The 25,209-nt window shown below is 35.5% G+C and overlaps 1 protein-coding gene across 11 annotated transcripts in view; it reads left to right on the top strand.

Moving 5' to 3' along the window:
- The window catches only part of ADGRL2 (adhesion G protein-coupled receptor L2), a 687,801-nt gene that overhangs the window by 430,570 nt on the left and 232,022 nt on the right, over positions 1-25,209 (top strand). For all 11 annotated transcript variants that reach the window (XM_047416152.1, XM_047416118.1, XM_047416159.1 and 8 more), the window contains one exon: positions 25,110-25,151. The gene's annotated coding sequence lies outside the window, so the exon portion shown is untranslated. The remainder of the gene's footprint in view (positions 1-25,109; positions 25,152-25,209) is intronic.

Genomic DNA, 25,209 nt, shown 5'->3' on the forward strand with positions numbered 1-25,209 from the left:
AGAGCCTAAGTGTTCACTGTGGATAAGTAGATGAGGAATGAGGACAGAGATGCCACCTGGAATTTTACATGAGTATTCTTATCCCATCTATTTATAAGGTTTGCCTTTTCTCCTTTTATAGCCCTACAGAGACTCCCTCACTCTTTTTTTTGAGACTGAGTCTCACTCTGTTGTCCAGGCTGGAGTGCAGTGCCACAGTCTCAGCTCACTGCAACCTCTGTCTCCCGGGTTCACGCCATTCTCCTGCCACAGCCTCTGGAGTAGCTGGGACTACGGGTGCTCGCCACCATGCCCGGCTAATTTTTTGTATTTTTAGTAGAGGTGGGGTTTCACCATGTTAGCCAGCATGGTCTCGATCTCCTGACCTCATGATCCACCTGCCTCGGCCTCCCAAAGTGCAGGGATTACAGGCATGAGCCACCATGCCCGGCCAACTCCCTCAATCTTAACCTCTTACCAGGCTCCAACTAGTAATCTTTGTCATTGTATTAGTCCATTCTCACATGCTATAAAGAACTACCTGAGACTGGGTTATTTATGAAGAAAAGAGGTTTAATTGACTCACAGTTCTGCAGGGAGCATGGCTAGGAGGCCTCAGGAAACTTACAATCATGGCAGAAGGGTGAAGAGGAAGCAGGCGTGTCTTCACATGGTGGCAGGAGAAAGAGAGAGAGAGTTAAGGGGGAAGTGCCACACACTTTTAAACAACCAGATCTTGTGAGAACTAATTCACCATCATAAGAATAACAAGGGGAAATCTGCCCCCATGATCCAGTCACCTCCCACCAGGTCCCTCCCCCAACACTGGGGATTACAATTCAACATGAGACTCGGGTGGGGACAGAGAGCCAACCATATCTAGTCATGTTCATGGAGCTCAGTTTTCCTAACTTATAAGTCTGAACCATAAAAGAGGGAATATTCTTATGGCTTAGATTATTTTCGTGTATTTATATATTTTAAGGTCAGGGTATATGTTTATTTTCTATCACCTCAAGAGCCTACAGAATTGTCAGTATCATCTGAATGTGCAAATAAAAGTTGATTAAATAACCAACAGAATGGTAGCTCTGGAACTTCTGGAGTCATCCTGGCAAGTAGAACCTTTCAGGTCTTGCCTTTAAAATTAAAACAACGCATGTCTCTTTTTAATTTATAGTTGCTAAAAACAAAAGGTGTCCAGATTCTACAAGACAGCCAAGATACACTTACCCCATAAAATACTTTTGCTGAATTATCCAACTATCCTTTGATTCTCTGGATATAACTAGACTTGTGAACAGACTGAAACCCAAATTAGAATTCAAAATTTGATAGAGTGTGGTAGGACAGACCACAGTGGCCTCAGACCTAAATTTAAATAAATAATGAAGTTATAAAATAAACACACTCTATGTATCCTGCATTACAAAAAATGTATCAATATTGTCTGATTATGTCTTCATGGTGCCATACAATTTGGCAGGATCCGGATCCGGATGTAGGTCAAGATTGAGTCTTGTGCTAAGTGATAAGCAATACACCAACCAATGTCTCCCTTTCTTGGGGTCCTAATTCTCATGACTGGAAGAACGGCAGATTCTCTGAGTGAGACTTCATCCTTTTATAATGGTTTCTAGTGTTACACTCAGCAACTATTGAAGAAGCTCTCCAGTCTCATTCTGATTGCTCCAGTGCAGGGACAGCTCAACAACAAGGAAGGTCATTGAAGCAGCAGAGGGAAAAATGAAACGTTTCCACAAATTTCTAGAGGTAGCCCAACCAGTTTAGGAAACTAATACTAAGACTGGGACATAGTGACAGCAAACATTACTGTCATGATATCATAGTGTTTATTGTCAGGACCTTACAGAAAAAGCAGACAGCCTGGGCACAAAGGGGCTGACATGGCAGTTCAGGTGAGATGAAGAAGAGACCCCTCTACATGCAGTGGGGTATCCTTTTTTCTGTTATGCATTGGCCAGTTTGGCCTCTCCCTATTCCATACAGTGAAACTGAAATGTGGTGTGATCTTCCTACCCCCGTTTTCCAGATGCAGTCTGGCATTCTAGCACCTGTGTTGCTGACCTCATTTTCCTCATGCTTTCTTGGCCTCACCTCAGCCTCTGAACTGTGATCTTTACCTGAGGCCCTTGGCCTGGTGACCTAAGTGATCATTTCTCTGGATTCTACCTTCACAACAATTAACCTGGTTATAAGGTTCCAGCCAGCAGGACTTGAGCTACTTCTGCTGTCATTCATCCCACTGGGTGCTTCTCTATGCCTGCTACCCCAGGGACCAGTGGCCTAGTGCCCTCCTGATAATGCTGGGTGCTTTTGCTTTTAGAAAGAACTTCACAAAAACCTTTTGTGCTGGTAACTGTAGACAAGGCACTCTATTCAGTATGAACCAAACAGTAAAGCAAGCCTGGCAGGCAGAAAACAAAACAAAACAAAACCACAACTTTAGACAAGAGTTGAATTAATTAAGTCAGTTATCCTAGGACAACTTTAGTTGCTAAGATGCAGTCTCTGGAGTCAAACTGCAGGGTTCTGCCTCGGCTCCATAACTTGCTCTGTGACCTTATGCAAATTATTTAACTGATGCCTCAGTTTCCTCATCTGTGAAAAGAGAATAGATATGTTGGAATGCTAAAAATGAGATTATACATGTATGCATCTACAACAGTACCAGCATATAGTAATTGCCCAATAAATTATTCATGGTTTGACAGAACCCTTGGGCCCATTTCCTCTACCTTAGAAACAACACCATCAGCTTACTCGAGAAAATGCCCTGGCCTGGAGCAGGCAGAGAGAGCCAAGGTGAGCTCTTATTAACTGTTTATGTTAAGACATTATATAAGCTACTCTATTTTCTACCCCAGCCTTATCCTATGGTAGGCAAAGAAAACTAGCCTAACCTGGTAACAATGACTTAAATATTAAATAATTAAAATAAAGCAGATAAATTGAGCAAGAGATACCTGCCTCAGCAGAGGCCTTACGAAAATCAAAGTTAGACTCAGTCTACCCAGCATGCTAAGCAAATCTCCACAATGCTACAGTGTTTCTGAACAGGGGCATTCTTAGCTTTATTGATAAGATAACACCCTTTCTTTATCCAGGCTGTTCCAGGCATTAGGGGTGCCTTAGCATGCCTAGGTCCTTCCCACTAAATGCCAATAGCATTCTTCAGTTATTCTGATAATACCAGATGCCTGACACAACACATACATGCACAAACACATAAATATACAAATGTACATGCATTTCTGAAGTCCCTTTAGAGAAGTGATACCAATCCAGATTGGAAACCACCACTGTGGCAATATAATCACATGGATTGTTCAGGAAATAGGCCTTCTGGAAGAAAATAAATATTATGATGTCAAAGGAAGATGAGGGTTGGCTGAACTCACTTGTTAGCCCACATCTGGGAAAGTAATATCTAACAAATTAATACTAGGGTGAAGTCACTTTTAAGAAAAGATGGCAGATTGTGCATGCGTTTTCATTCCAAATTATTTTACAAAATGCTGGTTATTCTGTTTTTATTCATTAAACAAGGGTTTATTAAATGCCTACCGAGTACATACCACTACTATATGCATATCCACTTTAAAAGGTTTATTTGAACCAGGACAGAGCACAGTAAGTTTCTGGCATCCTTGAATATAATTTCTAGTTTATTTAGTAGCCATGTCTGAAATGACATCTTATGTTTGAGTTCCAAGTAATGACCATTAACAAATATAGCTTAAAACCATTTTTTTACTTTTTGTTATTTTTGTGAAGCTAAGTTTAACTTGGCAACATTTTTGTGAAAGCTTCAATGCTTTTTGGCCTGAACAATTGCACTAAATAATCCTAACAAGGTTGAGGCAAGAACGTGGTTATTCAGACACAGAAATAAAATCCAGACATACACGGGTACATGTCTCAAAGGTTTTGAGCTCCCATAGTGCTTACTGTTTGTGCTATATAGACTTGCCACTCAGAGCTCCAGCCAACATTTAGTATATGCAAGTTAAACCATTTGGTGGGCTTTCTCCTCTACATTATCTCCACAAATGGAATATCCACAGCCTTGGCTGCTATGAATAGAAATAGGAAGCTTTTGAGAGAAGAAATTTATGCAATATAGCAAAAGAGATGAAAGAGATTCAGACCTCAAAGAAAGTATTAGAGAAGGAGGGTCAGAGACTGTAAGTTGAGTGTGGAAAAGCAGAGTGATGGATTATAGAGCAGAATGGGGAAAGACATGGTTAAAGGATTCTATTACCATAGGAAGGAAGGAAATTATTTTTTCTCACAGAGAAAAGAAATATTATAAACCAGAGTGTTATGTTTTCAGTATACTGAATGGTCTTATGTCCGTTTTGTGTATTATAGGCCAGAGGCTAATCATAGGTGAAGATGAGACAAGGGAATTCTAAAAAAAAAAAAGACAGATTATAGAATAAGAGTAAAGAAAATTGGAGTAAAATGAAGTTGAAGAGTGAGGCCAAAATAGATATAGGAAATGGAAAAACAAAACAAAACAAAACATGGTAAAGAAAGGTATAAGAAAAAGAAAAGAACTTAAAAAATAATTTTATGATTTCCTATGAATTTAGAGTCATCTTATTTTTAGAAAACCTACTGGGCAGTATATTTTACATTTTTAGTGCTAACCACTGAGATACTAAAACATAGTTCACGCAGATCTAGTCTTTACATTTCAACATTCACATCTTGAGATCAACTTTAACATAGTAATGATCATACTAGAACATCATAATTGGATATATTCAATTAAATTTCGTAGAGTATTACCTTTACTTCTTATAAGGCTTGGGATCTCTTGCACTTAAAATTTAAAGGTACATGTGAATTTTACACAAATCTATCTACTTTTCCTCTAAAAGCAAATGCAGTAATAGCCCCTGACAGAATTCCCTTTGGAAGATATATTTTTCTTAGTAAGAGAAATCAACCAAAGACAACTTTTAAATATTTCTAACCAAGAGGACTGCAATATTCAATCAAGTTAATGTTATCAGTGTGGTGATTATTTGAATATCTTTGATGTCAGAGCCATGCCTCAGAATTTCAAAATTCACTTGACTTTGAAATCAAAGTATACATGCTTTTTTCCTACTGTAATATAAAATATATATTAAAATTTTATCAAAAAATTGAACACACAAAAGGAAACTGCAAACTTTGCCAAGGATTTTGATACAAATTTAATTTGTTTTCAAATATCTTATTATCTATGTAATATATAAAACATAAGCTAACTGTGAATGTGGTGTATATTTTACTATTTGTATGACAAAAGACTGAAGTTTTCCTGCCCTAGGTTTACATTAGCATGTGCATTTTTAAAAGGCAGTAGTATGTATTATAGTGGGGAAAATATCAGTCCAGGATTTGGAAATCCTGTTTTAGCTTCAATCCTGGCTTTGTCTACTAGCCATATGATTTCTTTAAATTTTTTTCTCTTTTAAACTGGGAATAGTATGTTTCCTACCTAGTTCGTTGGGCATAAAAGGATGCTTTAAATCAAATCTATAAAAACATATGAAATATAATTTGTTTAAGTGTAGTTTCCTTAGGAATCATAAACAACTTCACTCATTAAAGGTTTGTTATCTAATGTATGGCTATCCCTCTTTTCTTCATATTGCTAAACTCTTGTACTGTTCTTCCATTAGTGGAAAAAAGAGAAAAGGAAAAAGAAGAAAACATTTCAATTTTCAAATCCATCCCTTTACTATCATACTTTAGACTACTCTGATTAAAGATTTTGAGAGTGATGACATTGAATTCAACATTTAAAATCAAGTGTGTTATGTCTAATTTGTATATTTTGCCTTCAAAAGATGCAAATTCCTTCTTTTGGCATCATGTGAAGAGTTAAGAATGCAACGAAAGAACTGAAACAAAAACTTATTCCATAAATCAACACTCCAGAAAAGAGACATTTTTCCTGTTGTGATTGTTATTATCATTCCAGCCCCTAGCGTACTAAGAGATTAGGAAAGTTTATGATATGAATGAATGCATAACTGAATGAATGTCTCTATGTTTGCAAGAAAAATATTCTATTATTTTTGTATTTAATTATTAATATTTGCCACAGAGTCAGTCTTACCACAAATTTTTCTCTGTCTCCAAGCCATTGCTTTTCCCAGAATTTCTAAATTGTGAGTTGTTGCTGTTTTATCAAATATAGAATAGTCATCACTTAAATTGTTGGGCAAGTTCAGTACTAACACTTATCTCTTCCACTTAATCTAGAGGTGAGATTTGCAGAAGCATCTTAAAGACAAGAGGGACAGGGCTTAGAGAATTTTTTTTTTAAGGCACCGTTCTTGCAAAAGAGTGATGTAAGAGGTAAGGAAGCTAAGAGACAAAACTGAACAAATGAGTTTAGGGAGAAAGCTAGCCTTTTACAGAGTAAAAGGAAACAGAAAGTTTGAAGTACTTTCCTCCAGCCTAATGAGGGTTTTTGAAATTAAGGGTTCTTAGAGCAAACCTGGAATTAGAACAAGTTAAAGAAGTAAAGAATGTAGGGAATGAATGGAGAGGGCTTGTTTGTCTAGAGTTGGTGCTTTAATAGAAAACGGCAGGTCAGCAGCAATGGCTGCAGCTGACAAATTGGCATGTATAAAAATAGGGACATTCTTATGGGGGCAGGAAAGCAGAGTGCTAATAACAGAAGGTTTTTTTTTTTTTTTTGCACTTGTATTAATCCAAAGAAGTTATTTAAAATTATAGTTCACATTTTTTTTCTCCATTTCTCAGAATTGTTTAAAGAGAGGAAAGAGAGGAAAAGGAAAGGGATAATTTATAGGATGTACCTTAGGAATTATTATTAGAAGAATAAAAAAGACTACTACTGGCAAACCTAAGTGCATTAGAAATGAAGTAATTAAAGGTTCTATAAGAAAATGAGCAAATTAGAGCTAGCAGTCATCTATTAACCTACTGTGACTTATAACTCACATTTTACTTTTTTCTCCCAGTGCAAAGCTCCCTTATTACCGTGTATGATGTTCACATGCAATTTTCTATTGTCGTAACCACATATATGTGGTGATGAGTGGATCTTAATTTGTTCTTCTATGTGCCTCTAGTTCACCAGCTTTAATTGTAGGGCACAGTTTTTCTGTGCTTTGAAAAGTGCCCAGCATTGCTAACCTGTGTCAGCATTTGATGTCTATTTTTGTAATATAGCAGTTATCATAAGTGATAAAGATAAGCAATGAAATGCATGCCAACATTGAAGGAAAGGACAAGGATAGATGTAGCTGATGATCAAATGTATTTACTGTGGGAAAACTAAGATTGGATATAAATGGTGGGAAGTGGGAAGCTAAAGATATACCTAGGGAGCAAAGTAGGAGAATAAGATACTTGCAAAGAGTGTGATGAATCAATTTTTAAGGAAATGAACTTAAATTCCTGATAGATGTTTAAGTATTCTATGAGCAGACAAAAACACTTGTGTTTCTAAATCTTAAATTAAGACATGCTCACAATTTCATGAGAAATCACTATCCATTAAAATATTGAGCATGTTTGGCAGTATTCTAAACACTACTTACATTATCCCATTTAAAGTACTTGTAAACTATATGGAGTAGGAACTAATATAATCCCCATTTTACAAATGAAAAACCGATGAATACAGATATAAAACAACTTGCTCAAAGTCACACAGATAGTTGAGTGACAGAAGTTTCTTTCAAACACAGTTTGTGTCTGATTTTGAACACAAATTAGCTCCTGATTCAGGCACTAGTAACCACTACGCCCTCTGTGTTCTGGAGAACCATAAGGATAAAATGTTACTGTTGAAGGTGGAATTTTTATAAAGAAACTAGCAATAGTATTTAAGTACTTCTTTGGAAAGGCAGCACATGATGAGAAGCTGAGAAAGATCTTAGTGTTCTCTACTCCAGGGCTGAAGATTGTCTCTCCTGGACTTAGTGTACCAAATACTGCTCAAAATTACTGTATCAAAATGCCTCTTATTACAAGGGACAGGATGACACACTCATGAAAATAGAGTGGAAGAACAAAACAGACAACTGGATGTCCGTATTTAGGTTCCTCTTTCTTTTGCTGTGTATATTTTCTAAATTGCCTCTATTTCCAGCTCAAATAAGCTCATATGAAATTATGTTTGAAGAATATGTTTCGTGTACTACTTGAGAGATGACAATGTTTCATTGTTTAAAATATTATTCCCAATAGCCCTTGCAACTCATTTGTTCCAAGCACAGAAGGAAATAATTTGATAACAAACCAAAGTACTCCAGTGCCTCATCATTGAGGACTGAGTTGACAACAGAAAAACAAGGGATGGGGGACTGCAAGTCACCCAGTCATTTCAGAGGGGGAATCATCTCAGAAGATGACAAATATGAGAGACTTCTGTCTTGATAACTAGTGGCATCCTTCCCTGGTAATCCTTGGCTGTTGGGCAATAAAAGACCCAATGTGGAGTTAGGAAGAAAAGACTTAATAATAACAAAAATAGTTTAACTTTTTTATAGCACAATGAAATTTACAAAGTGCATCTGCAAATATTCTCTCTCTTGATCTTTCTCTCTGAGAAGCACACAGCTGTGCATTCTTGGAAAAGTCACATATGCTTTCTTGAGCATCAACTTCCTCAATTGTAAGATAGGAAAAACAATTATTCTTCTTAGGCAAGTTACTCAGTTTCCTCAATTATAAAATGGGAGAAATAGTGGGTATTAGGTTGAAACAGAGTTTTGCCGATAGTCAACAGAAATGGCAATTTCATATGATTCAATCTAATACCTATCCTATAGAGTTGTAAGGATTAAATGGATCAATGTACGAAAACAGAGCCCAGCTGTTAGTACACTCAGTGTTATTCATGTAAATACAATCTCATTTCATTCACAGTAACACTGTGACAGATAATAGGGTTCTACCTTGAATATAAATTTATGTGAAAAGCATAAATATTATTTATGGATTTATAAGGGGGGAAATGTAGCTTTACAACAAATACCCTGCAATATAATGCTTTGTTATGTGGTTTCTAGGCTGCTCATTGAATATTTTATTAGCGAGCTTGTAAATTCTTTGGGTTGTTTCTCCCTCCCATCCAAATTTGCCATCCAGGGGGTAGTTGGCTAGTTTTGTAGGTGAGGTCTCAGTAAATACTCTTGTGATTTTGTCTATCTTATAAAATGACTCGAGGCCAAAAGAATGAGTATTGCTAGGCTTGTCAATTCAAAGAGGGCTTTAAAAGCATGTCAATATGTCAAGAGAAATTTTTTAATGGATTCAGATACTGCTTGATCAAAAAGAAATAAATAAAATATAACATAATGCATGGAGATAAATAACAGGAACCTTCAGAGATATTTGTTTGTACATTCTATTTATTTTGTGGAAAGTTTTCATTTTGATTTTTATTTCTAATATAATTTGTAAATTCCTCATTAGACATCGTGCCTTTGAAAATATGTGTGTATTATATACTAAATTGGTATATATTAAAAGAAAAATGTATTAAACTTCAAGTTATAAGATGCCAAATATTATGGAGGCAATTTTAGTAAAATAAAAATGTATATTTTTAAAAATTTTTTGAGACAGGGTCTTGCTCTGTCGCCCAGGCTTGAGGGCAGTGGTGTGATCACAACTCACTGCAGCCTCAACCTCTCCAGGCTCAGGCAATCCTCCCACCTCAGCCTCCTGAGTAGCTGGGACTACAGATGCCCACAACCACACCTGACTAATTTTTCTATTTTTTGTAGAGATGGGGTTTTACCATGTTGCCCAGGCTGGTCTTGAAATCCTGGGCTCAAGGGATCCATCTGCCTTGGCCTCCCAAAGTACTAGGATTACTGGGTGTGAGCCACCACGCCCAGCTGTAACAAATATATTTAAAGCTGTTTAATCTATATTTTATAAAAAGCCTCTGAGAATGAATTAGAAAAATGATATGTTTATAGTATATATTATTTTATCCTGTGAATAAATGTTACATAAAATCATATTATCATAATTACTAAAACAATATTATTGGATTCTTTTTAAAATAATTTAAATAACACAACCATTATTTTGGCCATTATTCTCTCTGAGAATTAGTATACTAATTCAAATTATATATATACATGTATATACACACGTGCACACGTATACACGTATATACACACGTGCACACGTATACACGTATATACACACGTGCACACGTATATACGTATATACACACGTATACACATGTATGTATATACGTATATACACACGTATACACACGTGTGTATATACGTATATACGTGTATACACACGTATGTATACACGTGTATATACGTATATATATGTATATACGTATATACACATGTGTATATATGTATATATGTGTATATACGTAATATATACATATATGTGTATATATGTGTATATATGTATATATGTATACATATATACGTATATATGTATGTGTGTATATATACATATATGTATGTGTGTATGCATGTATATATATGTATGTGTGTATATATGTATATATACATATATATGTATATGTGTGTATATATGTATATGTGTATATATACATGTGCATACATGTGTATATATATATATATTTTTTTTTTTGAGATGGAGTCTTGCTCTGTCGCCCAGGCTGGAGTGCAATGGTGTGATCTCAGCTCACTGCAACCTCTGCCTCCCAGGTTCAAGGGATTCTCCTGTCTCAGCCTCCCAAGTAGCTGGGATTACAGGCGCATGCCGCCATGCTCAGCTAATTGTTTGTATTTTTAGTAGAGACGGGGTTTCATCATGTTCCCCAGGCTGGTCTCAAACTCCTGACCTCAGGTGACCCACCAGCCTCGGCCTCCCAAAGTGCTAGGATTACAGGTGTGAGCCACCATGCCCGGCCTCAAATTATATTTTAAACATTATTTATTTGAAAATGATAATATAGGATGTATTCAACATAGTCCTTTATTTGACTGAAAAATAATTTTTCCTTTAATGTTTGTGTGTGTGTGTGTGTGTGTGTGTGTGTGTGTGTAAGAGACAGAGAGAGAGAAGGAGTGAGAAAGAGACAAAGTATGTGTAGAAACACATAAGACTGGTAGATTTCTTTTTATTGGATTTTTTCATTTAATTCTGGGAATCTTATTTATAAATGCTGACTTTAGACAAAAGCTGAGATTATCCTCATTTTACCAAAAAGAAGACTAGGTGTAAGAAAGTAGGAGTAGCTTGCCCAAAATTATATAACAAGAACTAGGAAGACTTTAAGCCAGGTTTTAAAATTCCTTGTTTGGTGCTCTTTCTTTTACAGATGGATGCTACTAACTTCTGCTTACAAATCTATCCTAGAATTTAACTGCTTTCACATTCTTACTTTTCTATTCTTTTAACTAATAGTATCAATTCTTTATATTATAATGGTATCATTGGAACAGGTAGACATCTATTAAGCTAAGGACTAAAATGGTCAATTTTTGTTTGAAAATAATAGAAGAGACCGGGTGCGGTGGCTCACGCCTGTAATCCCAGCATTTTAGGAGGCCAAGATGGACAGATCACGAGGTCAAGAGATCGAGACCATCCTGGCCAACATGGGGAAATCCCGTCTCTACTAAAAATACAAAAATTAGCTGGGCACGCGCCTATAATCCCAGCTACTCGGGAGGCTGAGGAAGGAGAATCGCTTGAACCCTGGTGGCAGAGGTTGCAGTGAGCTGAGATCGCGCCACCGCACTCCAGCCTGGCAATAGAGGGAGATTCCGTCTCAAAAAAAAAAAAAAAAAAAAAAAAGAAAGAAAGAAAAAAGAAAACAGTAGAAGAGTTTTGACCATATCTGCAATTTAAATTATTTAAATAGAGTCACTATTTGAGGGAGTTAGTGAAACATATTTATCTGAAAAGTGGTTAATGAATGATAAATTTTTTTGTCTATCTCAGTCTCTTATTTCTCATTCATTCCTTTTTTTTTGTTTTTTGGTTTTTTTGAGATGAAGTCTCACTCTGTCACCCAGGCTGGGGTGCAGTGGCATGATCTCGGCTCAGTGCAACCTCCACCTCCCGGGTTCAAACGATTTTCCTGCCTTAGCCTCCCAAGTAACTGGGATTACAGGTGTGTGCCACCACGCCTGGCTAATTTTTGTCTTTTTAGTAGAGATGGGGTTTCACCATGTTGGCCAGGCTGATCTTGAACTCCTGACCTCAGGTGCTCCACCCGCCTTGGCCTCCCAAAGTGCTGAGCTTATAGGGGTGAGCCACTGTGCCCGGCCTCATTCTTATTCTAGGACATTTGAATTCTTCCAGCATACTGTTTGAAGTAGAACAGCTACAATGAAAATATTTTTTAAAATAAAAATAGATTTTAAAATTATGAAGATAATGTAATGCACATGGAAAATCCAATAAATATAAAACATTTTCTTTTTTACCTTAAAAATTCCACTCAAACTGTTACCTCAACTCTTTCTTTCCCTTCTACCTTCCCCAATTTACCATTTTGATTGCTATCTTTCCAGACCTTACAAAATGATTTAGACAGTTAAGAGTTTGCTACATATTTGGCCCAAACATATGAAAGAAAAAAAGCAAACAAATATGAGAAGAATATATTTCTCATCATAAGAGACTCTTACCAAATAAATGGTAAACTGATGACATGAAAAAACTAAACCAACCATTGAAGACAGCACATCTACCATTACTTCTCCTTGTTCATGTTCTGTTCTCTCATTTTTCTTCATTTTCCTTCCCAGTACCATTAATAACCTGGCATACCACATATTGCTATTGCTTGTTGATTGTCTTTTTTCCTGTTACTAGATGGTAAGCTCCATCAGGACAGGAACTTTGAGAGATTTTTATTTTCTTGAACAGTGCCTGGAATATATTGATGTATTATAAATGTTTGTTAAATGAATACATAAACTAGACATTGGATGCTTTCAGAATATAATTTTATGGTTAATTGAATAAAACTATGCTTGTTGAAAAGATTTCTAAAATGTCTGTAGTTAGCACAGCAATATTTCAATAGTGAGTTTCATAGTCTTTTTTAGGTTCATAATTTTGAATGTCATTTCTCATTATATAAGGTAATATATAAGTATGGGAATTAGAGTAAAATTCATACTGACTTCATGACTGGCCCTGTTTTGAATAAATCTTCAGTCTGAATGTAGTTGCTTATAATTGGCCAATTTCCCTGAGAAACAAGCCAGTAAGTAAAATATATTGATTAATTGAGAACTGCAGTTAATTGGGTTTTTACTAAAATTTATTATACTGGCACAGAGTAGGCACTCAATAAATATTTGTCAAATATGTGAAGTCTAGTTAGAATTTTTTTAGTTTCTCAAATAAAAAGAAAAATTTTCAATTAAACATGTGATATGCAATAGCATTAGAATCTACATAGCAGACAAGCTTTTTCAAAAGTATCTCAATTTGTTCTCATGCTCTTCTTTTTCTATCTTTCTGTTCACCTAACCTATGAAGCTGGGACAAGTAAGGTGGAAATCTCTAGGTGATGTGTGAACAGAGAGCCTCAGTAGCCTAAACAGTGTCAGAGCTCAAATAGGCTGAGCAGAGCATCTGAATGGGAAGGGTCAGATGCCTAACAGCAATAGGATATTGGTTACAGGTAGGATGGTTGATCAAAAAGTAAACATATTAAAAATAACAGGAGACAGATGTTTCATTGTCAGACAAGTTGTTACAAATATTAAGAGAGAGAAAGTATGGCTGGGCCAGGTGGCTCACGCCTGTAATCCCAGCACTTTGGGAGGCCGATGGGGCTGGATCACAAGGTCAGGATTTCAAGACCAGCCTAGCCAAGATGGTGAAACCCCATCTCTACTAAAAATACAAAAAATTAGCCAGGCATGAGGGCAGGTGCCTGTAGTCCCAGCTACTTGGGAGGCTGAGGCAGAGAATTGCTTGAACTCAGGAGGTGGAGGTGGCAGTGAGTCAAGATGGTGCCACTGCACTCTAGCCTGGGCAACAGAGCAAGACTCCATTTCAAAAACAAAAAAAACAAAAAACAAAAAACAGACAGAGAAACTACATTGGACCCTGTGGTGCTGGTTTGGAAATGGAGGAAGCAGTGTTTCATAGATATAGATATATATGGAAATAAATATCAATGTAATATGTGGATGGATAGATAAATGGATTTTTATGTGCATATATCTCCTTGGTTCTGGATCCTGAGAACAATGACAGCCCCAAAACAATGGGCACACCTACATCCCAGATCTTGGTTTCTCAATAACATTCTCATCTAAAAGAAATTAAGACTCCTTAGAGAAATAGCTGATTCCAGGGCTGGGGCATGAAAAATACAAAACGAGCCTGGAATATATTACTGTGCTGAAATACGGAAGTATTAAAACAATGCCAGGGACATGTCAAAGAAAGATGTCAGACAGAAGAGGATCATACTGACCATATCTGGGACAATTTGAAAATCAAAGTGAATAATAACAGTAACAGCAGATTATAATCTATTGGGTAAAATGAATATCCATGAGTCCACTCTGACATATATAAATAAATAAATAGAAAGTTACTCTACTTCCCTGCAATATACTTATGAAAAGGAGGAAAAGAGCAATTATACAGTCATCACCTTAATCATGAGATCAGTATTCACATCATGAGTAATGTGCCACCTGATAGGTTGCTATGAAATGAACATAGCATCACTTTTGTGATTTTTCCGCCAAAGAGAGGAAACCTGAATCTGATAATGAGAAAACAAAAGAGAAACCTAAACAAGGAGCATCTTACAAAACAAACTAACTCACAATCTTCAAAACTGTCAAATTCATGAAAGCCATGGTAAAACTAAGGAAATCTTTCAGATCGAAAGACTGAAAATGCATAATAATTAAATTTAATGCTTGATTGTGGACTGGATCATTTTGTTATAAATGACATTATTAAGATAAGTGGCAAAATTTGAAGGGGATCTGAGGATTATAGTGATGTATCAGTATTAACTTTCTGATTTCAGTGGTTGTATTTCAGTTATAAAGGAAAATATCCTTGTTTGTTGAAAAAAATATGTTGAAGTATTTGGGAATAATAAGTATCATATCATGTTGACACATTACTCTCAAATAATTCTGAAAAAATGTTATTTGTCATTACAACAATTTTGTGATTTAAGATTGTTTCAAAATAAGAAAATAATAAAATTTTATTCAAATTCAACATCTTCCATGATATGTTGTCATAATCCCGGAATAGGTTTCAGGTTAGTTTAGAGAAAAGTCTTTTACATGTTATAAAGTTTTATAATACAGTTTGCTATGGTCTGAATGTTTATGTTCTCCCCCAAATTCATATGTTACAGTCTTCATCTTAGATGTGATGGTTAAGAGGTGAGGCCTTTGGGAGGTGATTAGGTCATAAGGGTGGAGCCTTAATGAAAGGGCTTAGTGGCCTTATAAAGAGAGAGATCCCACGCCCCTTCCACCATGTGGCATTAAAGTGAGAAGGAAGCTATCTCTGTGAGGAAGTCCAAGCGGAAGGGCCCTTGCCAGACATTGAATGTGCAGGCAATTGATCTTGGACTTCCCTGCCTCCAGAACTTTGAAAAATACATTTCTCTTGTTTATAAGTCACCCATTTGATGACATTTTGTTATAGCAGCCCAAATAGATTAAGACACATTTGGAGGTGTAGAAAGCAGAGGGCTCTCGCCATCTCCACTCTTTAAAACTACAGCATTATAATAATGAAAGAAAAAGGCGCTATACTTTTGTTTCATTTCCAATGAAAACAATTATGATCTCTTAGACATTTGGTACTGATAGTTATAGTAATGGTTTTCTGTTTCTTTCCTCCTTTTTTTGAAACAAGAGTCTCACAGAGTGCAGTGGCATGATCACGGCTCACTGCAGCCTCAACATTCCTGGTCTCAGGTGATCCTGCCACCTTAGCCTCCTGAGTAGCTGGTACTACAGGTCCTGGCCACCACACCTGGCTAATTTTTGTAGACACAGGGTTTTGCCATGTTGCTGGGATACAGCCATTCGCCACTGTGCCCAGTTGGTTTTCTGTTTTCTTTTGTCTTAAAGGCCTTTTAATATACTTCCTTTAGTATGAAGAAGCCAAATAGCTACAGTAGGTATTAAAATAGCAACAAATATTATTCAAACCAAAAATGATACTTCCCCAGAGAAAGAAAATTTAGTAGAAATAATATGTGGACAGGTAAAATTTTTATATTACTTACATTGCTATAATACAACTATTTTAAAAGAGCACAGCAAATAATAGATTACATTGTTTCCTAGTTGTGTAAACTTGTAGTGAATTCCAACAAGAACAGGCTATGCAGGCCATACATGAGGAAAGTGCTAGAATGGTACTGAAGACATCGCTGTATCTATTCATGTTATCAATATCTAGGTGTGTGTATTTGTCCAATTTCATGCTGCTGATAAAGACATACCTGAGACTGGGCAATTTACAAAAGAAAGAGGTTTAATTGGACTCACAGTTCCACGTGGCTGGGGAGGCCTCACAATCATGGCAGAAGGCAAGAAGGAGCAAGTCACATCTTAATGTGGATGGTGGCAGGCAAGAGAGAGCTTGTGCAGAGAAACTCCCGTTTTTAAAACCAACAGATCTTGAGAGACCCATTCACTATCATGAGAATAGCACGGGAAATACCCGCCCCCATGATTCAGTCATCTCCCACCGGGTCCCTCCCACAACACGTGGGAATTATGGAAGCTACAAGATGAGATTTGGGTGGAGACACAGAGCCAAACCATATCAGTATGTAACAAACATAGGTAAAATGAGAGCATCAAGTAAATTTATGGAGTAGGGTTGAATATACTATTAAAGATTTATTTGCCCAAAAGTATACTGATATGTTTGAGAAAATAGAATAATTTTCTTTAAAGCAAAATACAAAAGTACATAATTTCAGAAATTATGATATTAGAATATCCAGTTTGTCAATTCGGAATTTAAATATTAAAAATTTAGATTAGAATGTAAGCTCATGAAGTGGAATAAACAAATATTCTATTTGGTTTTGATCTGTTTTTTAGTTGATCAGTCAAGTAATAATTTGCATCATATCAAACACTTCAAATATCTGGAAAGTTGTCATTATTACTCCTAATACCAGAAAGGAATCCCAGAAGCTGAATGTCTTTCCCTAAAGGCAAATGTTTAAAGGAGACCATCTTTTGAATATATGATGGTGCATGTTTTGGGGGAATATTCTTTAGTCTATTGTGAGAATGAGTTGTGGTCTAAGGAATTTGGAGTGTCACTGGAGAGAAGACAAGGGGAGTGGGGTCCTTCATAGAAAATATTTTATCCCATGACTACACATCTGCCAGCCAGCAGGTACTTCCTCCTGATCTGTCATGGTGGTGTGCTGATAGAAACTAAAAAATGCCAATAAGGCTTCTTGGACTTAATAGACTCCTTCCCTCCCTTCCTCCCTCCCTCCTTTGGATTTCATAGATTCCCTCCCTCCCTCCCTCCCTTCCTTCCTCTCTCTCTTTCTTTCTTTCTTTCAATAACACAGTGTAGTAGGTTCAAAATCCAACTTTCTTGCTTTGTAGCTTTGGAAACATAGACATACTAATTTCTTTGTGCCTCTTTTTTTAATATATAAAATGGGGATAATAATAACACCCAAATTATAATGAGCACTAAATGAGACAACGCGTGAGCCACCATGCCCGGCTTTTTTATTTTCTCCTCCTCCTTCTCCTCCTCCTCCTCCTCCTCCCCCTTCTCCCCTCCCCTCCCCTTTCCTTCCTTCTTTCCTTCCTCTTTCTTTCTTCCCTCCCTCTTTCTCTTTCTTTCTTTCCTTCTTTCTTTCTCTCTTTCTTTCTTTCCTCCTTTCTCTTTCTTTCTTTTCTTTTCTTTCTCCCTTTCTTTTCTTTCTCTCTTCTTTCTTCTTTTCCTTTCCTTTCCTTCCTTCCTCCCTCCCTTCCTCCTTTCCTCCCTTCCTCCCTCCCTTCCTTCCTTCCTCTCTCTCTCTTTCTTTTTTTCTTTCTTTCAATAACACAGTGTAGTAGGTTCAACATGCAACTTTCTTGCTTTGTAGCTTTGGAAACTTAGACATACTACTTTCTTTGTGCCTCTTTTTCTTCATATATAAAATGGAGGTAATAATAACACCCAAATTATTATGAGCATTTAATGAGACAACGCATGTTAATTGCTTAAATTTGTACCTGAGAGATAGGAAACACTAATTGCTAGCCATTGTTATAATTATTGGAGATAAGGAACAAAGGTGAAAATATCAAGCAAAAATATAAGCTACACTAAGAAATTTGTGACTTCTTAGAACACATTGTGATGATTCTCTGAATAAATATATTTACTGGTACATACCCAACACAATATTAGAATATTAGGGCACATAAGTTCTCTTTTAAAATAGATTTAAAGATATATATATGTGTTTATATATATATATATATTTAAAGATATATATAGATTTAAAGATATATATATATAAATGCATATATGAAGATATATACATATATCTTCATACATGGGGGTGATAATTGTAGTATTTGTCACAGCAATAGAATGAAGACTTCATTATAAAAATTATTTAGCAATTTGCCTGGCACTACTAATAAGCACTCAAAGCACTAGTTTGCTACTATTGCTAATTATCATTATCATTATTATATATGTGAGAGATACATATAAGGGCATAATTATAATTTTATACTATGATAAGAACAGAAGAGTTAACATTTCAAGTCTTTTAAAGAATGAATACAGTTTTTCCAGATGGAGAAGAGGGAAAGAGCATTCATGGATTCCCCATGTGTTTTACCTAAACTTGACTTGTTTTCAAAAAGTCACTGAGACCACAATTATTTTACTGAGAAACTGCTTTTGAATTGACCATGTCCACACAAACTAATCAATCAACAGATAATTGAGCACCAAATCTATGAAATATGCAGAGAAAGTGTAGACAGGCTCCCAGCTGGTTTTGCTATTCTACATTCTCTCTTCTTTAGCATACTTTTCATGAGCTTGACACAGTAATCTCCCTAAAGTGCAGTTTTCATCATGCTGTAACTGCTAGAGGACATAGAGTGGTTTTTGAATGCCTGCTGTATTAAGCCCAAACGACTCTATCTAGCTTCAAGGATCCTCAACAGTCTTGCAATTCACAGTATGGCATCAGCACCAACATCACCAGGGAAGTTGTTAGAAATAAATAATCTCACACCTCAATCCGCACCTATTAAATTAGGTTCCTCATTTTAACAAGGTCCCCAGGTATGCACATTCGAGTTTAAGAAACATTTCTTTAAAATATCCTTTAATCTAAACCAAACAAAATCACTAATCCATATACAACCCAGTCTTATCAAGAAGAATTAAATCTTTTCATTAATTTCTCTGCATCCAAAGCAATCCCTTTGCTCATGCTCTTAACTCCACTGGAAATTTCTTATTTCCTTCACATCTACTTTCTAACTCTCATCCATTCTTGAAGACCAGTGAAAAGTCTCATATCTTCCATAAAACTAAGACCATTTCAAAGTACACTAACCTTCTTGAATATTTCTTGCACTTAGGACAACACCAATTCTATTCTTCTTTTATCATTCATTCATTCATTCATTCATTATTCACTGAATATGCATTTTCTTAATGCTTATGATTATTTACCTGACATTGTTGCATTGGCCACAATAAAACAAGAATGCAAGACTTTCCCTACTCTGTCAATTCCCAATGAGGGATATCATGGTTCAGTAGAGATGTCTTAAGTTTCATAGACAAGAGGTATAAGTGGGTAGATGTGAGGGTGCAGGACCATATTGCATAAAGCCACATAATTTGTGCTTTTTTGTTAAAACTACTTAATGGAAAAATACTGTTAAAATATATTAAAACCTTTTGTAGTTTGAAACAGATGAATATTTTAACTGTTACGGACATGACAAAGAGATGTTGTATTTTGTTTCATGTTAATTTTCCCTCCTATAGGTAATTGTGATTTTTTTATAGGCCAGCAATATGTCTTTCTCCATTCATTCAACAAATAACAGAATTTTAAAATAGCTCCTATTTGTCCTTTTCTGACTTCTTAAATTTTAGACATGATAGGCACTAAATAAATACTTGTTGATTGAAGACACTCTTTGATCTAAAGTTGGGGACTAGGTTTACACACGTGGAACAACCATTTCAGAAATGCAGCCACCCTTTCCTCCTACTGTTATTCATGACATAAGGAAACGTTCATGAAGTCATAGTGACACTTTGGTTTACTAGGAGTGTCTTTTGGATCAAAAAGTTCCTCCAGGGTGCCATGGAAGTTTCTGTTTCTCTGTAGCTAATGTTTGCTATCACCAGAGACTGTGTTGGAGTACAGCCAACCAAATGGAATTGGCTAGTAAAAGCTTTTGTGGGTGAGCATTTGGAAACAAGCTTCATGACCATTTGCTAGCAAAACCTCAGCAGGAGGAATTTTAACCAACCTAAGTTAATGTAAAAGTTTGATTTGAAAGGGTCTGGAGGGGCAGGGGAAATAAAATACTTAATGAAGTATGTAACATCCCATATTCTTTAATAGTAAAAATAAAAGTGTTAAAGCAAACTAAATATGGCCTGAGAGGGACCCTGTACTTCTATATTTGAATCCTTGTGGATGAATTGTAACCTAGATTAATAGTCAGACAAAATTGAAAACCTAACTTAGGAGTATGAGCCTGTAACAATAACTGAGTCTTGGCCAATCACAGTGGCCAAATTTCAGCCACTCATAGACTGCTAAGTGTTCAAACTGTGTTCAAATAAGGTAAACACCAATCTGTAACCAATCCAGCTGTTTCTGTACCTCACTGCCAATTTCTGTACATCACTTCCCTTTTTTGTCTATAAATCTTCTTCCATCACGTGGCTACACTGGAGTCTCTGTGAATCTGCTGTGAATCTAGGGGCTGCCCGAATCACGAATTGTTCATTGCTCAATTAAACTACTTTAAAGTTAATTTGGCTGAAGTTTTTATTTTATCAAAAGTTAGCTTTTCTTGTTGCAAAACTACTCACCAGCTCTTTAGGTAGAAACAGATGCTTAGGCAGATAGCCAGTCTTTGAAAGGGCGCAAGCTCCAAGCGGCGGCACTGGAGTACAGTAAGATTAGATACTGTGCAAGACCGTCAGTGAGCCCCTTGGTTCCTTCAGTGTGATTCAGGAGTGGAGTCACACAAGGAAACTTCAAAACCAAACTAAGTAAAAACACGATTTCCAAGGAACATAAACTAGAACTTTACAAGATCTAATGTTACATGAAAAATGCACATTACTTTGATTCAAGAATCAGCAATTACTTTATATTTATAACCTTCAAATTGGTTACAACGTTCCTTTATCTTATTCAGCATTCTTGCTGAAGATGAGCTTTCCCACATGAAGTGCAATTTTGTCTTCAACTTTTAATTCCTCTGGATACAGAAGAAAAGCTCTGGGCCCTTAATTGAGCAATTATTATTTCTTAAGTGAACATAGAGTTTGAGGATGGTGCCAAAATCTTCCTTTCATCCAGAGAACAAGTCTAACATAAGCAGCAGCATAAGTGTTGTCTGGCGGCACCCCAGTTTTAGGTACAAGAGCCAAGTCAAGACTGAAAGGGGAACTCATTCCTCACCTCTACTCACTCCCTGGCATCTCCTGAGGTTCTTGAATGAATGCCAATTAGGGCCGATTTATATGTCTCCTTGGAGGTTTTAGATAACTTCACTAAGACCTGTTTGTTTTTCTCATTTAGTCTGTTTCTCCAGAGTAGGATTTGCCAACTTGCTGCTGAATATGCTGTTTGCAGTTCATTGCTAGGTTTCCATACTAACATAAAGCATTGGTATTTGAAAAATTCATTAAGAAGTAGCTCACCTTAATTCCTAGATCTAAATCTGTGGCGTGGTTCTATCACCTTTTCTACAATGTTGTCTCAGAATTTAAGAACGGAAAATAAAGAGTTCATATGCTAACATTTCATGGAATATGCCTACACAAAGGAATTGCTGCTTCATGGCTTATGCCATTGTTTAAGCTATTCTAATTGTTTTCAAGTTTTAAATACAGAGCTGGAATCCAATTCTCAGGAACTCCTACCATTTGTCTTAGTTTTCTAAGACATTTACTGTCTCCATTACATAAAGAGACCTTCAAATATTTGAAGATAGGTTCCATGCTTCCTTTATATGTATATATATTTTTAATTAAACTTCTCTTATTCCTTCCGCTACTCCTAAGGTTACAGGGCTTCCAAACTGTATCATTAATGAGAAGTTAGCTTTTCAATAACCACATTTTGAATACAGTCTGCTAATACTGACCTCAATTATAGTTAAAAATATATAAGACCTGCACTTTAAATATAATCTTTTCCAGGTTTGATTAGATTTTGATTGCTGTAATTAGCCATCTGTAATACATAAGACATAATCTAGAATTTGCTCTTTACACATCAGAGTGATAAATCCAGCTATAGAAAGCATCTTTTTGGTTGCCTCTTAATGAAAATATTACTAGACACTACTAAGTGGTGATTGAAAAAACATGCTGAAATATTACTGTCAGCTACTGGAGTAAAACTTCTCACCAGAGAACTATCACAACTTCAGGATAAAAATGATTGCTATCTAAATACAAATTTTAGCAGCCATTAAAACTGTTAGAAAGAGCTTAGATCACTTTGCTTCTTAGAGTTTAAAAAATTTTTACTATACAGTATCAAATTAAAATTTAGTTACTACTTGCAAAATTCAAAACATTTATGAAAGTATAATTAACTAACATTTTAAATCAGAATTCAGGACAGTTTGAATGTTCCTTATATGTCCACAAAAGTTTTTTCTAGTCTTTTACCAAATACTAAAGTGATGATTTGTCCAACAATGTAGATGTTTAATATTCACCAAAGTGTCATCAACAACTTAATGCATCATGCTTTTCCTTCTCATTAAAACTGCTGTATTACTGAAGCTTGACCAAATTTCCTTCATGCTTGGACATCTGTTTAAGTATAATATTCTACACTTTTCCTCCTCTATCAGATTTTGCTTTATCTTTATTTTCCTTCCTTCTCTGACCTGTATTCAAGAAATAGAAAATGGCTCTTTGATGTGCCAGTTCCAAGTATGTTCAGATAAAAGGTAAATAATTCAATAGACTTGTTGATGAGAATTGACATTTGAACACTGGAGGTTGTTTCCTTTACTCATGCACTCTCTTAGTGAGGATAGGGGACCCAAGGTAGGGACTGGCTGGAGTGAGTTTCAAATTGGTGAAAAACTTCTAAAAAAAGAAATGGTAGAGAAAAGAGCAAAAAAAATTCTTTTTTAAATCAATGAAGTAGGAAAGTCCAAACATATATTCTTATCAAGTCTCATACTTGGCCAATAGTTATAAGCCTCTCTGAAAACATTTATATGTGTGGGTGGAGGCAAGTTGCCCATTAAATTGTTAGAGGTGTTATCAGATTCATCAGGACTTGGTTGTAAATTTGACTACACAGTTTGGCTCATAGAGAAATGAAAAGGAAATATCTGATTAAAGTGTGCATAGCTGCTGAGGCAACTGAATGTTGCCATAGCAATTGAGATGAAATGTGCAAGAAGTGAGATAATTAAATCTAACCCCTTTAGTAGTTTTGATAGTCAACGCACTGCCAATAGAAAAAGTTATCTACAGTATTAAGATAAAACACATTCCTCATGGAATGTCTCCTTACTGTATTTTGTTTCTTTTCTAAATACATTGCTTTTGGTGTCTAATTTGAATGTTCTCTTTTAATAATCAAATATAGTTTTGACCTTGGTCTGCCTAAACTTTCTGCTGGTTTATTATATCATGGGGATAGACATCTATAAAAAATATCAATGTTTTCCCCTTTAGTTCTTAAAAAAAGTATACTAAAGCCAAAGCTGCCACATTTGAGCTTAGAATTCAATAATATCTAGAACGTGCTGCCCTCTTCAGGAGCTGGTGCTTAAAAATACTTTTTTTTTTTTTTAGCAGATTGATGAGTTATAATATCAAAATTGTATTGATAATCTTTAGAAATAAATTCCATGTAAAATAAAGTATTTCTGTGTTTAAATTTTTTTTACATTAAGAGCTTGCATTAAAAATCAATACATATAACATTTTGAAAGGAATTATTATTATTTACAATTAAATACAAACTAATAATTTCCTTAAACTATTGTCATAGGGAGAATTCCTGAATCATTACAAAATTTGACTTCCATATTTAGTATTCAAATTTTTAAGAGAAAAATTGTCTAAAAAAGAAGGTATTTTCTATGTGAAAATCTAAGTAGGACATCCTTCAAATCCCAGTTTTATTCTTCAACAACAAAAACAACAAAAACCAACTTTTTAATTTGGGAACATTAGGATTTATAGTTTGAAATTTTAGCTAGTTTTCATTTACAGAAACAATATCTTTCTTGGGAATAATGATTCCAAAGATATCTTAACACATCATAATGTTTATTCAAAATTACTTCACTAGAAAAAATTTCTAAAGGTCTGAAATATCACTATTGAGAAAATTCAAGCAAATCTCCTTCATATATATCTATTAAAATTTCCTTAGCCATTATATAGTTTTAACAGAGAGATATGATCTCAGCGTATTTTTCTCCAAATTAGGTTTATTATACTTTAAAAAACTGATCAATATTAATAGCATTAATTATCAGGATGTGAGAAAACCATATTTTCCCTTAAAGAGTTTTAGGTAAACCTGTCTCATCTCTCTCAATAAAAACTTCAAATGAGCTAAAGGGCTGAGTGAAAAAAAAATTTATTGACAATGTTCTCCTAATTCTACAATATTTCTTTTGTGGAAAACAAAATAGTTTATTCCTGTATTTGAAAGTACTTATCAAAACAAGTGCTTAATCTTATGGTAGCTCTGTTCATAGTCATATAATATATGTTCAAGAATTCTTAGAACACTGATTTGTGTTTTCTGCTTAGATTTACTTTATTTTTGTTTTGCTGCTGGTGTATTACATTTGGCAGTTAGGATCCCTGTGGATGGAGGTATAATAAATAATAATATTTTCTTTACTTTCCAGGGTATTTATGGCACAATGAAAAATTTCATCTTTCCCAGAATGGTAAGTAAGGAGTTCTTTCTGTATTTGATAGTACTGAACACGAACAAGAAAAGGTGAA

The sequence above is a fragment of the Homo sapiens genome, chromosome 1 (genome assembly GCF_000001405.40).
Source record: "Homo sapiens chromosome 1, GRCh38.p14 Primary Assembly".
NCBI lineage: Eukaryota > Metazoa > Chordata > Mammalia > Primates > Hominidae > Homo > Homo sapiens.